At 46.2% G+C, this 15,361-nt stretch overlaps 1 protein-coding gene and 1 long non-coding RNA gene across 2 annotated transcripts in view, besides 7 other annotated features; one reads left to right on the plus strand and one right to left on the minus strand.

The window, feature by feature from the left end:
- Positions 1-540: 540 nt before the first annotated feature.
- Positions 541-15,350, minus strand: SORL1-AS1 (SORL1 antisense RNA 1). The gene is made up of 3 exons (NR_183636.1): positions 15,058-15,350; positions 12,079-12,282; positions 541-2,024 (listed from the first exon to the last, which is right to left on the minus strand). It is a non-coding gene; the product is annotated as an SORL1 antisense RNA 1 (long non-coding RNA).
- Positions 8,887-9,016: an enhancer, noted in NCBI's record as "active region_5649". NCBI's record gives its function as "activates an Ori minimal core promoter by ATAC-STARR-seq in GM12878 lymphoblastoid cells {active_cell/tissue: GM12878}" and the evidence as "EXISTENCE:reporter gene assay evidence [ECO:0000049][PMID:35858748]".
- Positions 11,061-11,140: an enhancer, noted in NCBI's record as "active region_5650". NCBI's record gives its function as "activates an Ori minimal core promoter by ATAC-STARR-seq in GM12878 lymphoblastoid cells {active_cell/tissue: GM12878}" and the evidence as "EXISTENCE:reporter gene assay evidence [ECO:0000049][PMID:35858748]".
- Positions 13,654-13,713: an enhancer, noted in NCBI's record as "active region_5651". NCBI's record gives its function as "activates an Ori minimal core promoter by ATAC-STARR-seq in GM12878 lymphoblastoid cells {active_cell/tissue: GM12878}" and the evidence as "EXISTENCE:reporter gene assay evidence [ECO:0000049][PMID:35858748]".
- Positions 14,584-14,633: a silencer, noted in NCBI's record as "silent region_4003". NCBI's record gives its function as "represses an Ori minimal core promoter by ATAC-STARR-seq in GM12878 lymphoblastoid cells {active_cell/tissue: GM12878}" and the evidence as "EXISTENCE:reporter gene assay evidence [ECO:0000049][PMID:35858748]".
- SORL1 (sortilin related receptor 1) overlaps positions 14,697-15,361 on the plus strand; it is a 181,450-nt gene continuing 180,785 nt past the window's right edge. Inside the window, exon 1 of the mRNA NM_003105.6 lies at positions 14,697-14,999. Coding sequence (NP_003096.2) covers positions 14,715-14,999 — 285 coding nt within the window. The 5' untranslated portion in view covers positions 14,697-14,714. The remainder of the gene's footprint in view (positions 15,000-15,361) is intronic.
- Positions 14,764-14,813: a silencer, noted in NCBI's record as "silent region_4004". NCBI's record gives its function as "represses an Ori minimal core promoter by ATAC-STARR-seq in GM12878 lymphoblastoid cells {active_cell/tissue: GM12878}" and the evidence as "EXISTENCE:reporter gene assay evidence [ECO:0000049][PMID:35858748]".
- Positions 15,104-15,293: an enhancer, noted in NCBI's record as "active region_5652". NCBI's record gives its function as "activates an Ori minimal core promoter by ATAC-STARR-seq in GM12878 lymphoblastoid cells {active_cell/tissue: GM12878}" and the evidence as "EXISTENCE:reporter gene assay evidence [ECO:0000049][PMID:35858748]".
- Positions 15,304-15,353: an enhancer, noted in NCBI's record as "active region_5653". NCBI's record gives its function as "activates an Ori minimal core promoter by ATAC-STARR-seq in GM12878 lymphoblastoid cells {active_cell/tissue: GM12878}" and the evidence as "EXISTENCE:reporter gene assay evidence [ECO:0000049][PMID:35858748]".

Raw genomic sequence — 15,361 nt, forward strand, 5'->3', positions numbered from 1 at the left:
ATGCTACTGCTGATGGCTTGGTTGTTTCTCTTCATTCTTCAAGCCCAGATTCCCCTGTTCAAAGAGCCAGACTCTTTGAGCGGGAAGGGACCTTGGCATCATTTAGCCTGGGATAATTGCTATACTACAGGTAATCTAGACTCAAAAATAGACTAAAACTGTGGGCCACAGGGCTTATAGGGGAGTCTTACTGGTGCAGTTGACTTCTGTGTAGTTTCAAGGAAGGGCAGAAGTTGATGGGAAGTGGGAGTAGGGAGGATGTTTAACAAAGGAAATGTGCAAACACCACATGTTCTAAGATACAGGAACATAGAGTGGCTAAAGGTTTGCGTTTCAGGAGGCAAGTAGTTAGAGGTAATGGTAAATAGGGGAAGAATTTCAGAAAAGAAAAATAAACAGATTCAAGAAAGTTTTCGGTAACATAAGTTTCCATATCTACGTGGAGTTCTCCAAAATAGAAGATGAACGCAGGTTTTGCCTATTCCGAAATACATGATTAGTTCAGCATTACATATCAAGTATCACACCGAAGTCTTAAAATCTGAGGGCTTGTTTTTTATTACTTAATCAGAACTCCCAATTTGAACCGTCCACAATATCTCTGATAAGCATTAGTCTAGCTTAAATACTTCCAGTGCCAAAGCATAATACTGGAAGAAGCAACTCATTTCATCCCTTTATTTTAATTTATTTTTATTCAAAGCATAATTACATATGGTAAAATGCACAGACCTTAAGTGTATAATTTGATTAAACTTAATTGTTTAATCAAAATGTGAAAATTGCCATCACCCAAAAAATTTTCCCATGCTCCTTTCCTGTGGCCCACCCTCCCTCTACATTCTCACAGGCAATGACTATTCTGATTTCTATTTCCATAGATGAGTTTTTCCTGTTGCTAGACTTCACATAAGTGGAGTCGTTCATTGTGTGTACTCTTTTGTGTCTGGTGCTTCTCATTTAACATAATATTGTTGAGATTCATCTACGTTGTTGTATGCATTAATAGTTTGCTCCTTTTTATTGTGGGGCAATATCTCACAGTATGAAAAATCTCAATTTATCTCTTTAGTCTATTGATAGACATTGGCATTGTTTCCAAAGTTTGGCTTTTAGAAATAAAGCCATGGCCAGGTGCGGTGGCTCATGCCTGTAATCCCAGCACTTTGGGAGGCCGAGGCAGGCGGATCACAAGGTCAGGAGTTCGAGAGCAGCCTGGCCAATATGGCGAAACCCCATCTCTACTAAAAATACAAAAATTAGCCAGGTGTGGTGGCACGTGCCTGTAGTCCCAGCTACCTGGGAGGCTGAGGCACAAGAATTGCTTGAACCCGGGAGGCAGAGGTTGCAGTGAGCTGAGACGGCTCCACTGCACTCCAGCCTGGGCGGCAGAGCGAGACTCTGTTTCAACAACAACAACAAAAGAAATAAAGCTACAATGAATATTCTTATCCAACTTTTTTTGTAGACATATAGTTTCATTTCTTTTGGAATTTTTAGATCACATGATAGGTGAATATTTATGAGAAAATGCCAGTTTTCCAAATGGCTCTACCATTTTATACTTTTGCTGGCCATGCATAAAACATCCTGCTGCTTCACAGCCTCTCTAACATTTGGTACTGTTAAAATTTTTAAATTTTAACCATTCTGGCGGGTGTGTAGTGGTATCCCATTGCATTTTCAATCTGCACTTCCCTGACGACCAACAACGCTGAGCATCTTTTTTATGTTCTCATTGGCCATGCATGCATTCTCTTTTATGTGGTGTTTATCGAAGTCTTCTGCTTGTTTAAAAACATTGATTGTCCTTTTATTACTGATTTGTAAGAGTCCTTTGTACATTCTGTTTATGAGTCCTTTGGCACCGTGGAGAAAATTTCCACTTTGGAGCCAGACACCCAAGGGATTTGAATCTTGGCTCTGTCTGTATATCTTCTATGAGTAACTCAATGTCTCTGATCTTCAGCAGCTTTGTCGGTAAAATAAAAATAATTCTCACCATACAGGATTGCTTTGAGAATCTGAGAGAGCACAAATACAGCACTGAGTTCAGATCCAATCCTGGCACATAACAGGCACTTACAATAACATTTAAAGACGGTGAGTATTAATGTAAATGTTTAAAGATAATGGCTGAGTTGGCCCTCTGCTAAATCTCCTCTATTCTAAGTTAAATATCTCATTTCTTCAACTTTTGCATAAAATATGATTTCCAGACATTGCTGCCACAAGTTGTATTTGAATTTTTTAAAAATCAGTAAGACAAGGGCTTTGGCCAATCAGAATGGACACAGGCCATTGGGCTGGATGAGAGTCTAGGAGGCCCCTAGTGGACCAGACATTCATTAATCTTCTAGTTACTGGATTCTGGGGGAAGTTCACAGTGTTCTGGGTGGGGAGGCATGGTGCCTGGGACAATGGGATTTGGTAGTGCTCAGGAGCTTGCTGGGGCTCAGGAAATGATACCCCAGGGTGGGCATGGTGGCTCATGCCTGTAATCTCAGCACTTTGGGAGGCCAAGGCAGGTAGATCACTTGAGGTCAGGAGTTCGAGACAAGCCTGGCAAACATGGTGAAACCCTGTCTCTACTAAAAGTATAAGAATTAGCTGGGCCTGATGCTACATGGCCTGTAATTCCAGCTACACGGGAGGCTGAGGCAAGAGAATTGCTTGAACCCCGGAGGCGGAGGTTACGGTGAGCCGAGAGCATGCCACTGCCCTCCAGCCTGGGCGATAGAGTGAGACCCTGTCTCTAAATAAATAAATAAACAAACAAATAAAGAACTCCAGAGGGCCAGAGGATGGCATGCTGAGACTTTGAACTAAAGAAGATGGGAAAGCCCCACCAGCAGCCTCAGAAACAAGTTCTCTCTGACTTTCTCTTGCCCTCCTGTCTCTTGTCCCTCTTTCTCTCCTGATTCATAGAAACCAGAATTCCTCTTTCCCAAGGTGGGTCACAGAAACTAGAATTTCTTTCTCCCAAAGCAAGCCATGAGCCTGGAAAGATCATGTTCTCCCTTAATACTTCTTTCTTGAAGACCTTCATTCAAGAGCGGTCCCTTTCCATACTCAGGAGGAAGGAGGTCAAGAAGAATCTGAACAGACAAGACTTGCTGGGGTTCCCTTCTCAGTCTATTACCACTAGATTATACCCTTTTGTCCAGTCGCATTTCTACGTAGCTGTCCATTCTTCATCAAACTTAACCATGAAAGTAGACAGTCTTCCCTGGGTCTTTGGGTCTTGATTTCTGAAGGCTCTTGTGTCACATAAAATTACGACTAAATACAGTTATGCTTTTCTCTTGCTAACTTGTCTTTTGTTATAGGAGTGTTGGCTGTGGCCCTTATGATGGGTGAGGAAAGGGATCACTCCTTTTTCTGCCCCTACTGGTTGCAGAAGTAACTATTTACCAATGGAGATATAAGTATTTCAATGTTTTAGAAGCGAGTCCCAGGAACAGAGCTTGCCTACTAATTTTTAGGCCCATTATCTCCATTACTACTTTCTGATTTTGGAAATAACTATTGGTTGTTCTTGGTATTGTTTTCCACTTCTTCTAAAGGGAAAAGAACCCTTGATTTGTAAGTGGGTACATGAATGCTTAGAATAAGGCCTCTATTGGCCAGGCGCTGTGGCTCACGCCTGTAATCCCAGCACTTTGGGAGGCCGAGGCGGGCAGATCACGAGGTCAGGAGATTGAAACCATCCTGGCTAACACGGTGAAACCCCATCTGTACTAAAAATACAAAAAAAAAAAAAATTAGCTGGGCGTGGTGGTGGGCGCCTGCAGTCCCAGCTACTCGGGAGGCTGAGGCAGGAGAATGGTGAGAACCTGGGATGCGGAGCTTGCAGTGAGCCAAGATTCCACCACTGCACTCCAGCCTGGGTGACAGAGCGAGACTCTGTCTCAAAAAAAAAAAAAAAAAAAAGAATAAGGCCTCTATTTCCCAGCATCCCTTGCAGGTAGGTGTGACTATGAGACTAAGTTCTGGCAAATGGGATGTGAGCAGAAGTGATGTGTATGCACTGGCTTGTGCCCTTTCTCCTTCCCACTGGGTGGCTTGAGGATGTTCTGGTGAGCCATTGTGGATCATACAGACAAAGGAGGCACCCTGGGATGGCACAGCAATGAGACAGAAGGAGCCTGAACTCCCGACAGCTGCATGGAGCTACAGCAGAGACACCAGCTAATGTGTGGGAGAAACACACTTTTGTCTTGTGTAAGCCACCATTATTTTGGGTCTCTGTGGCATGCAGCTAAAGTTTTATCCCAACTAATCCACTGATCCTAAAAACCCGTGTGCCACTACCCCTACTCTTACCCTAGTTTTCCAACAGGAGCACTTAGTAATATATTGCAATTGACCTAGATAAGTTTATTCATGCCCAATCATTAGTTATTTTTGATAGACAGAGTAGCTGCCAAGTTGGAGCATGTAAGCTTTAGTTAATCCTCCACAACCTCACTGCCAGATTTTAATGATAGCAAACCTTGCACCAGATTCTGCTATACAGGCAGATGTTTATTAAGTAAATATTTATTAGCAACAAGGCATAGGAAGTCTCTCAGCTCTTTGAGGTGCTTTCATTGCACCTTACTTGAATGTGCTTTACTAGATGCAGATGCGACATTCCAGAGTCGCCATTCAGTTAAACTTATGGTTGGTAACGAGCAACTAGAATCCTTAAACCCAAGGACACAGGAAGAGCTAGGGATTAAGACTCAATTGGGGCTGGGCGAAGTGGCTCACATTTGTAATCCCAGAACTTTGGAAAGCCGAGGTGGGTGGACTGTTTGAGGTCAGGAGTTCGGGCCCAGCCTGGGCAACATGGTGAAACCCCTTCTCTACTAAAAATACAAAAATTAACTGGGCGTGGTGGCACGCACCTGTGGTCCCAGCTACTCAGGAGGCTGAGGCAGGAGAATCACTTGAACCTGGGAGGCGGAGGTTGCAGTGAGCTGAGATGGTGCCACTGTACTCCAGCCTGGGTGACAGAGTGAGGCTCTGTCTCTCTCTCTTTTATTTATTTATTTATTTATTTATTTATTTATTTATTTATTTATTTATTTTTTTGAGATGGAGTCTTGCTCTGTCGCCCAGGCTGGAGTGCAGTGGCGTGATCTCGGCTCACTGCAAGCTCCGCCTCCCAGGTTCACGCCATTCTCCTGCCTCAGCCTCCCGAGTAGCTGGGACTACAGGCGCCCACCACCACGCCCGGCTAATTTTTTGTATTTTTAGTAGAGATGGGGTTTCACCATGTTAACCAGGATGGTCTTGATCTCCTGACCTCGTGATCCGTCCATCTCGGCCTCCCAAAGTGCTGGGATTACAGGCGTGAGTCACCGCGCCCAGCCAAGGCTCTGTCTCACAAAAGAAAAAAAAAAAAAAGACTCAATTGGCATCTCTGAGGCTAGAGGACATGAAGACGTGGGATGGAAAAGAGTGTCTATAAAACATTTTTGATAAGCCATATGTCTTGAATACTTCTGACTTTACTAATGACAGCCCGTTTCTAATACTTATTAATCTAACTAACAAGCTACTAATGAAAATTCATTCTCAACATTCGTTATGCTAATTAGTAAAAAATCACTTGTATTGATTGAGATTTAGAGCTACCCTGGAGCTAGCGTTGGACTTTCTAGTGCTAGCTGACCACCCTTGAGGCATGAATTCCCGATTAGGACAAATGACTGCCCCAGGTTGCTGGCCAAACAAACACAGTAAAATCTGGCTGTCTACAGTGGCATATCTAAAATAAATTCTCACAATGCCATGTCAAACAGACAAGAACCTAAGGCATGAATATTCCCACTGAAGGAAAAGCCATGGTTTTATACCACTCTCCTGTTCCATTGATGCTGGAAGCTTTTCCTTATTCATAGTTGCTATATTGTCTGTAGTAGATTTTAAATACTTCAATATAAACAGAGTCATGTATATGTGTATAAATTAACTTTAATCCATGCTAGGGGTGTACAGCTCACGTTTGAAGGGACTTCATCAGAAATCCATGCTCTAAGTGTGATTGGCACTTGAAGCATCCTGGTCAGGAATTCAAGCTTTTCAGGGAGCTGCGCTGAGAACATCATGTACATTTGAATCAGAAGGTGTATAAATTAGCATAAGGAATATTAGTTATTATTTTTCATTGGTGAAATTAGCGCTGCTCAAGAAACATAGCTGGAGTGGGCTTGCTTGGACAAGATGTAAGAATCCAGCAGACCCAGCAGGCTGATTCCTCCTCCAGAGCTGTTGAATTCATCTGGTCTTTTGTCTCTCCACTTAAAGGGAAACTGTTCCCTGATTTGACCAGGAGTTTGGTGGATCCTGGCCTCAGAACACTGCTCCATCTGTTTGGGGTCTAGGTTCTCCTGTAAGGGTTTTAGGGGTGCCCTGAGCCTTCTGGTACAGGATGTGTGATGGCCTCTAGCCTGCTTGCTAAGAAATGTGTGTGTGTGTGTGCGCGTGGGTGTGTGTGTGTGTGTCTGTGTGTCAGAGAGAAAGAGAGAGAGAAACCTGGTTTAATTTATAAAAACTAATCTCAGTTTTTATAGCAACATATCACCTGGTAGTGAGGTTGAAGGGACATGTACAAACCTGAATAAAAACCCAACAATTGCTGAATGGCCAAATTGATTTACCAACAATACCTAACCCGAGCTTTGCTCAATAATAATAGGCATCATTAGCTAAACAAGTTTTATGTGCCAGGCGTTCACTTTCTAAACCATTGACATGTAAAATCTCAATTAATCCTTTAAACCTGCAGATGTAGGTAATTCATATTTACTTACGGATGAAGAAACTTAGGCTCTGAGAAAGTACCTGAGCAGATCCAGCGGGTCTCTGGCAGAGCCGGATATAAACCCAGGTGAGTGGGCTTCTGACGTCACGCCTCTAGTACTTTACACTGCACATGGATGCAGGTTAAGCGCATTTCAATCTCTGGTTCCATTTTAGGTGATTAAATGATCTGGGCAAGATTAAATTATGAGGTGGAAGAGGGGTGGAAGGGTGGACAGGATCTGACTTCAGTGGGCAGGATAAAGAAATGAGGACACGGTGGGTGTCCCCCTGCTGGGAGGCATCCAAGACAGATGGGGGAGCAGGAACCACACTCCATGGTTGGCAGACTGTAAGTATTCCATGGCGTCATTATCACAGAATAGCAGCCTTTTAGAATTAAGAATAGTCTTAATTTGTGCTGTGTTGGGTTTTTCATTTACATAATGTTAGATTTCAAAGAAAATTCATACACAAAATTCACTGCTAATTTAGCACTGAAGCTTCTGTTGAAATAACCATTGAAAACGAAGAATTTTTCACTCACCTCTTTGCTTAGGTGGTTGGGCAGTTTGAAAATTTGCCTCCGAGCAGGTCTGTTGGTATGATCCAAACTCTAATCGCAGTTTCAATAATTTATTTGGTGTGGAGGATTTAATGTAATTTAAGGGCTCTGAGAAAATGTATTATTTTATGTGGAGCCTCATTAAAAGCACTTGCAGTTTTGAGTCTGGTGGGAATGATGATTTTAACAGGTGTTAATTCAGCTGATGACACCACGTAAAATTTCCAGGGTGATGGATTTAGAGAAGGCGCACAGTGAGGGGCGTGATCTGTCGCACCCTCTGGGAGATTATATGCATGATACACAGGTCCTCCCACTTCTCCTGAGCTGTAGCAGGAGATGGGCAAAAGTGGCATTTGGAACACGTGTTGTGGCCCTGGTGAAACAGGTGCTGGAAGAAGCACTTCTCAGAACCCCTGGCTGCACGGCCTCCACGGATCCCTGCACCACAGTGCTGAAAGGGACGAGCTGGGCGCTCCACCCCAGCTTCTGCTGTCCCCACAGCTCTCCTTTGGTGTCTCTCTCCATTGGCCTTCCCAGCCTCCCATAGCAGGCACCACCCCACCTACCTGTTCCCACACCCTACCTTGCCGCCACTCTACCCTGAAACCTTTCCTCCTTCTCCTCAGACGCTGAAAATAACTTCCTGCTTCCTCCCGGAACCAGAGCACTTTAGCCTTCTCTGCTTGTCCCGTTCCAACTTCCACACACACACCTGAAACCACAGCTCATAACGTCTTATTCTCCAGAGAGTTTGCCTATCACCCTCCCCAAAGCCAGTACTCATCTTTTTTCCCCCCAAGACAGAATTCTTTTTGTATTTACATATTTCTGCTAGTTTCATGTTTATCTTTCTTCTCTTTCTCAAGTTCCTTGCAGTTAGTGGCTGTGTCCTTTATAGGCATTTGAACCTATTATTGGGCAGATGATGACTAGGACATGCATAAAAATATGTTGCAGGGAAAGGACCCCCTTCTTGCTCAGGCTGGCTGCCCTGGTGCTGACAGGCCCTCAGAGGCCTCTCTGCCATTCTTTGCAGTGAAAACTAGAATGAAAAATTCAGTCTCCCCAGAGCATTGATTCAAAATTGTTCCTCCTTCCAGAACCAACTGCCGAAGGGTGTGAGGAGCGGGGGTGGGGGTAATTCTCTCTCACCACTCCCTTCACTTTTACTTCAATTCTGTAGGATCTACTCTGTCTCTGTTAAGTACAAGACAGGGGAATAGACTCCAAGACATCATTACAATTTAGAAAAGGAGATAAGTACCAAAATCGTTGTTCTAATGGAAGGCAGAACATGATCAACATCTCAAAAGAGGCCTAAAGCAAGTTTCAGGGCCTCTAGGGGTAGTTGGGGGAAATCCAGGAAGAGGTCAAGAAGTGGCCTTTTAGTTAATGAATAAACAAGGCCAGAGGGGAGAGCATCTCAATCTGTTCTGACTGGAAAAGGGGTCTGGGGGATCCTAGGTTTCTGTTAGACTGTATCCAGGAGAAGGCCAGGCATGGTGGCTCATGCCTGTAATCCCAGCACTTTGGGAAGCTGAGGTGGGCAGATCACCTGAGGACGGGAGTTCGAGACCAGCCTGGGCAACATGGTGAAACCCCGTCTCTACTAAAAATACAAAAATTAGCCAGGTGTGATGACACATGCCTATAATCCCAGCTACTCGGGAGGCTGAGGCAGGAGAATCATTTGAACTCAGGGGGTGGAGGTTGCAGTGAGCTGAGATTGCACTACTGCACTCCAGCCTGGGTGACAGAAACTCTGTCTTAAGAGAAGAAAAAAAAAAAAAAAAGGAAAGTATCCAGGAGACGTGGGCCAAAAAGCTAGTCTGACTGTCTGCTTTCCCTGTCTTGCTGGCCCTAAGAGAGTGCAGAGGCATCTGCTGAAACAAAGCATCACATTTCAACTGTGCTGTGTCCAAGCTGATTGGTCACATCCCCAGGCTCGTCTGTGCCTAACGCATGCATCCCCAGTGAATGTACAGCAAAGGCCTCAAGGGAAGAAGATACAAGCCTTGATATGTAATTACACGGGGATATTCAAATAATCTTCAGCTTAAGTTCCTCTCATTCACTTCAAACCCAGGAGGGGGAGTCCTACTCCTCTATATTCCCAGGGAAAGAGGTAATTTCCTAGGGACCCTCAGCAACCCATTGTCTTATGTCAGGAGGTTTGTCCTTGGGTCTACATAATTATAAGAAACTTCTAGGTTCCCGCTTCACACACTTTGTGAGAAAGGTCTAAATGCTTTCTTGATCTAGAAGTTCAGGAAGTTGAGTTACGCAGGGATGAAGGCCAGACAAGGGTAAACAGTGGAACCAAAACTTGAGGGCTTTTTTTTTTTTTTTTTTTGAGACAGGGTCTCTCTCTGTCACCCAGGCTGGAGTGCAGTGGTGCGATCTCAGCTCACTGCAGCCCTGACCTCCTGGGCTCAAGCGATCCTCCCCACTCAGCCTCCTAAGTAGCTGGGACTACTGGCATGTGCTACCATGCCTGGCTCATTTTTGTATTTTTTGTAGAGGTGGGGTTTCGACACATTGCCCAGGCTGGTCTTGAACTCCTGGGTTCAAACGATCCTCCCGCCTTGGCCTCTGTAAGTGCTGGGATTAAGGGCATAAGTCACTGTGCCTGTCTGAGGGACCTTCTAAAACTTGCGCTCTCTCACAGGTTTTGAAACACATTGGAAACCAAATCCCTCGCTAAATTCATCTCCTAGAAAAGTATAGAAAACAGGACTGGACTTGTGAGCTTTGTAACTGTAACATTACTGCTAACTTGTCCCAATCAGGGCGTGAGGGTCAAGCAGATACAGCATCTCACCTAGGCTAGGTACCTAGGAAGGGAGACAGTGCTGGTTAAGGCAGGGCTGAGTTGTGAAGGAGGTGAGGCCTACAGCCACTCCCTTTCCTTCTTTCTGCCCTAATTCCCGCTGTTCCACTATACCCAGGACTTGAAATACCAGCTCTTCTCTTCCTAAGAGAGGTATCAGATGTGGCAGAAAAAGGGAGCCTGGGTTCAAATTTATCCCTTACTAACAGTAAGTTAGCAAGCCTGTTTAACTTTAGGCAAAGCAAATAGTCTTCCTTTCTGAATTTCAATGCTTAAGGTCTGTAAAATGGGGGTGACAATAATTCTCGCTTTGGCCCACTTCAAAGGGTTGCTGTGCGATGGAATGAGATAGATAATGCTGTTATAATGTTATGCAAATGTAAATCACTGCTATGCAAAATAACTTACTGCTATTTCCAGAAACTCCTCTTTGGATTTAATTTAATCAAGAGTGAGAATATAAGTTACTTATTCTATGCTCTGGGTGCATTTGTATTTTAAACCTCATCAATTATCTTGGACGCTTTCCTAACTGAAGTAGATTTTGGCAACAGCAGGAGAAGGAGTTATTTCTTTGGGGGCAGGCGGGTATTTCTATTTTGCCTGAGCTGGTGAGGTCAATGGTAGTTATTTGGCCAAAGTAACATGGAAGAGGGAACAATGTTTACCATCCTAAGGGCAGGGAAGTCCCTTTTCTGCTTTAATGACTCTGGTCTGGTTGCGTGACTCAGAGAGGCCTGCTTTGGGGGAGAAAACGAGGTGGGAAGCAGATGGTGGTAAGAAAAGATCTGAGATTCAACTACATTGGCCCCTTAACCAACCATTGCCACCAGGACAAAGGTGGTGTCACTTCTCACCTTCATTTAAATGCATGCATCCTATAAATATCATTGAGTGCCACCATGTGCCAAGAGTATGCTGGGCACTGGGCGTCTAGACTTGAATGAGATAGACTGGTTTTGTCATTCTGCTGCTTGTAGATTAAGAGGAAGATGGAGATTAAGCAAGTGACCAGAGAGGAAGTATCAAAGGCTACAGGGGACTAGAGCCTTAGAGTGAGGGCTGTAACCTAGCCTAGGTGCCTAAGGAGGCTGCTCTGAAACCTGAAGGCTGAATAGAAGTTGGCCAGCCAGGAGGTGAGCATGTGAGAAGGCCACAGGAAGAGAAAGAACAGAAAGAAGTCAAATTAGGCTTTGGGGAGTTTTTTCCTCTTCGTGGCTGTCCTTGCTGCTATTTTAAACATGACTCCACCTGGATAAAAATGTAGGACACTGTGACCTCTGTGTGTTTGTCCTCTACCTCCATCTCCAGTGGCCTAAGATGGGCAGTAGGACAGAGGAGGGCAGTTTAAAGTCTGACAACAGGCTTAAGACTGTTTTATACACAGCTGTGAGTCTATCATTACATTTCCGTGCATGTTGATTTTCGTCATGATGCTGGGCAGCATCCGAGCAAGGCCATGCAAGATGGGACAGAGGGGGATATGGTACTGTCTTCCATCCTGCACCCCAACTTTGATGTTACTTCAGAGGGATAGAGGAAGTGGTAGCTTGTTTACAACCCAGAGCTGGTTTTGAAGCTGAGAGGAACACCTCACTCATATTGCACGATTCAGCTCTAACTCCTGTCCTGGGTGACCTTGCCTGTGGCTGCTCCTATCTCACAACCCAGTGGGGGTCCTGAAGGTTTGGGAGTGGTCAGGGCTGAAAGGTGTCTTTTCATTTAACTTATGAAGAAATCGTAAGAGACAAGATGATCAAGACAAAAAATTACATAATAATTTGGTTGCAAAGCCAGGACTAGAATCTATGTTTCTAATGCCACCTGCATGCACTATTTCTCTCTGGAGGCCTTCACACAAATTTGCACAGCTATTTTATATACTTACCTCATCTGATACTCTCAGCAGTCCTGTGAGATTGGTAGGGATTAAGATCTCTATTTTACAGATGAGAAAACTGAAGCTCTGAGGAGGTTTGGCCAAGTCCCCACAGCTAGAAAGTCAACCTTCTGACTCAGAATTCAGCGTGTCTTCCACTGCGTTCTGTAGTTGTGCAGCAGGCACAGTCTTGGGGGGTTGCTGATTATCTACCTGAGAATGGTTTGGAATGTAGATAATGATTAGATAGGAGGGCTTGCAAGGAGTTAATTAACCATGTTTGAATATTCTTACCAATTCTCTAGCATTCAAGTTGCAAATCAACATCAAAATGAGCAAGTAGCTGGCCCTGCCCTACTAGTCCTTCTGTGCAAGGGGCCATCTGAACCTTAAGCCAGCAGTTTGTGTGGGCAAACAGATGCCCATCTTCAAATCCACACTTAGGAGACTCCTGTCTCTGTTTTCTGCTGGGACTCTGACACTTGCTCTTGCAGAGAAGGTTCTCATTAAATATATGTTGGAAAAACCCCAATAATTGAATCATCTACAGGATGTTCTCACTTTAGCCATATTCCCTTCATTTTCCTTTGAGGGCTAAATGGGAGTAGAGATATCTTTGCTGCTGGTCCTGAGAGACCATGGGGTTGTCCATTCCTGGTAAGGTGATGCTGACCAGACAGAGCTGATCTAGATGAGGGGTGGGAGGTGACAGTGGTTCAGTGGCTTTCTTGGAGGATGCATGATTGTTTGAATTATTATTTTTAATTGACATATATAAGTATATAATAAATATATATGTTATATATATGAGTTAGAGCTGAATTGCACAATATGAGCAAGGCGTTCCTCTCAGCTTCAAAACCAGCTCTGGGTTGTAAACAAGCTACCACTTCCTCAATCCCTCTGAAATAACATCAAAGTTGGGGTGCAGGATGAAGGCACCCCAATAATACCACACTGGGGAAAGTGTGGTATTTTGATACCTGTATACAATGTATAATGAACAAAGCAGGGTGGTTAACATAGAGAATGCATGATTTGCTTGGTGGGGAGAACTGGATGGTTCTGTAATTATGTTGAGATGGACAGAAAGACATCATCTGACTTGGGGAGAAAATCGGGTGTGGGAGGAGGTGGGAGAGTGCAGAACCTGAGGCAGAGGTCCCCAGCAAGTCTGGCATGGGGTAGGGTAGGGTGGTTGAATACTGGCTTCAGGGAGATGAGGCAAGCTGGCCTGACTCTGGCAGGTTGTCAGTGGTAGTCCTAGGTAGAGGAGGGGGCTTTGCTAAGCTACCTGAAAAGTACTAGAGTGGGCCGGGGTAGGAATCGGGCTACCGTGGCTTGTCGGAGATGAGGAATGTTTTTAGAAAATTGAACTGACCATCCCTTCCTTCCCCTGAACAGCAGCTTGTATGCAACTATAAAGGTAGTCTCCCTTTCAGCCCTGCTTGCTGTGTCTTTATTCTTATCAAAAACCAGGATCTGAGTTCAGAGGGCAGTGAAACATAAAATGAAATAGGAAAGGTTGCAGTAGTACATAGACTTTGGCTGCTCCCACTAACCTGCAAAAAAAATATTTTCCTTGGGCGTACCTTAGCAGTTCCATGGCAGAAGTTTTATCTCCTGTGGTTCAGAGAGTTTGGCTCGTCAAGCTGAATGTAGGGTTAAAGTGTGTCCTCCCTCCTCTGTGGGTGTTTGCCTAGCTCCTGGCTGTGGGTTGAAGGGACTGGTAAATATGTCTATTTTACTGCTGAGGCAGGGTGGCTCAGTGCTTGGTCACCTTGGAGGGATCATAAGCAAGCCGCCGCTGGGGCCCTGTGCCACGCACAGGTATTCATGCGTGCGTGCAAGCACACCCTGTATAGCTGTGTAATAATTGTCCAGGTGTGGTGCATTCTTTGTCAGATGTACCCTTGTTTTTACTGCCTCTGTGCAGGATGTTTATTTGCTGTGCTTCAGGCTGGGGCACGTAGCTTGATCAAGGGTAGTTTTTGCTGTGGCCCCTGCAAATACGTTGTGGTGCCCAGAGTAGATGAAAAACTGTGAGTTTCCCAATAGAGCGGGTTCATCTGGACTCTTGTTGGTTGCGTTCTAGGAGCTAATTCTGTGGCTCTGGACTCTTCCCTGGAGGTGGGGATGAGGCCGGGGCCGGGGGGAGGTGGTCTTGTGGCGCTACTGCGGGCTGTGCACTCAGGAAAGTGGCCACGGTTTAGGACGACCTCGACACGACCCTGTATAGGACGCAACTAACTCCAGAGAAAACGAGCGAGCCCCATGCAACTCTTCATTCCTGCAGGGAGAACAAGGAGGTGTGCCCGCCAGGGAAGGGACGCACCCCCACCGGCGCTCGCTGCCTTAACTTCCCCATCCCCGCGCCAGGGAGGGGCCGGAGTCGCCGCCGAGGCCGCCGAGCGCAGAAAGTGCGCGAAAGGGACGCGCTGCGAGCCTCACACGTGACGGCGCCGCGCCGAACCGAGCGGGACCTGGCGGCAGCGGCGGCGGGCGCAGCGGGGCGGCCCGGAGCGGCGCGGGCGGCCTGGAGCCCCGGGAGCGGCGCGCGCGGTCCCGGCCCAGCGGCTCTCCTGGCCTCGCGCTGCACATTCTCTCCTGGCGGCGGCGCCACCTGCAGTAGCGTTCGCCCGAACATGGCGACACGGAGCAGCAGGAGGGAGTCGCGACTCCCGTTCCTATTCACCCTGGTCGCACTGCTGCCGCCCGGAGCTCTCTGCGAAGTCTGGACGCAGAGGCTGCACGGCGGCAGCGCGCCCTTGCCCCAGGACCGGGGCTTCCTCGTGGTGCAGGGCGACCCGCGCGAGCTGCGGCTGTGGGCGCGCGGGGATGCCAGGGGGGCGAGCCGCGCGGACGAGAAGCCGCTCCGGAGGAAACGGAGCGCTGCCCTGCAGCCCGAGCCCATCAAGGTGTACGGACAGGTGAGCAGTTTTGCAACCCGCCTCCCTCCAGTTTTTTCCTCTCCCTGCACTTCCTCACCCCCGCATCCATCCGTTGCAGTCGCCTCCTAGGTGCAGGCACCACTGGGGACTTCCCGGCTTGCATTTGTTTTTTTCCTTCACGAGTACAACCGTCAGCACTTGAATCGCATTGATCTTTCCTTCTTCCTGTCGATTTAGTAAACGTATTCCAGGTAACTCGCCGGGTGCAGTGCGTATTACCCCAGGGTGTGTGCAGAGAGATGTAGTTTCCGGCAGGTATAGGAGGGGTGCAGCTTCATTTTACATCTGGATAAAAAACGGGCTTTCTTTAGTGTATCATCAGTTGGCAGTGGAGGCGAGCA

Source organism: Homo sapiens, chromosome 11 (genome assembly GCF_000001405.40).
Source record: "Homo sapiens chromosome 11, GRCh38.p14 Primary Assembly".
Lineage (NCBI taxonomy): Eukaryota > Metazoa > Chordata > Mammalia > Primates > Hominidae > Homo > Homo sapiens.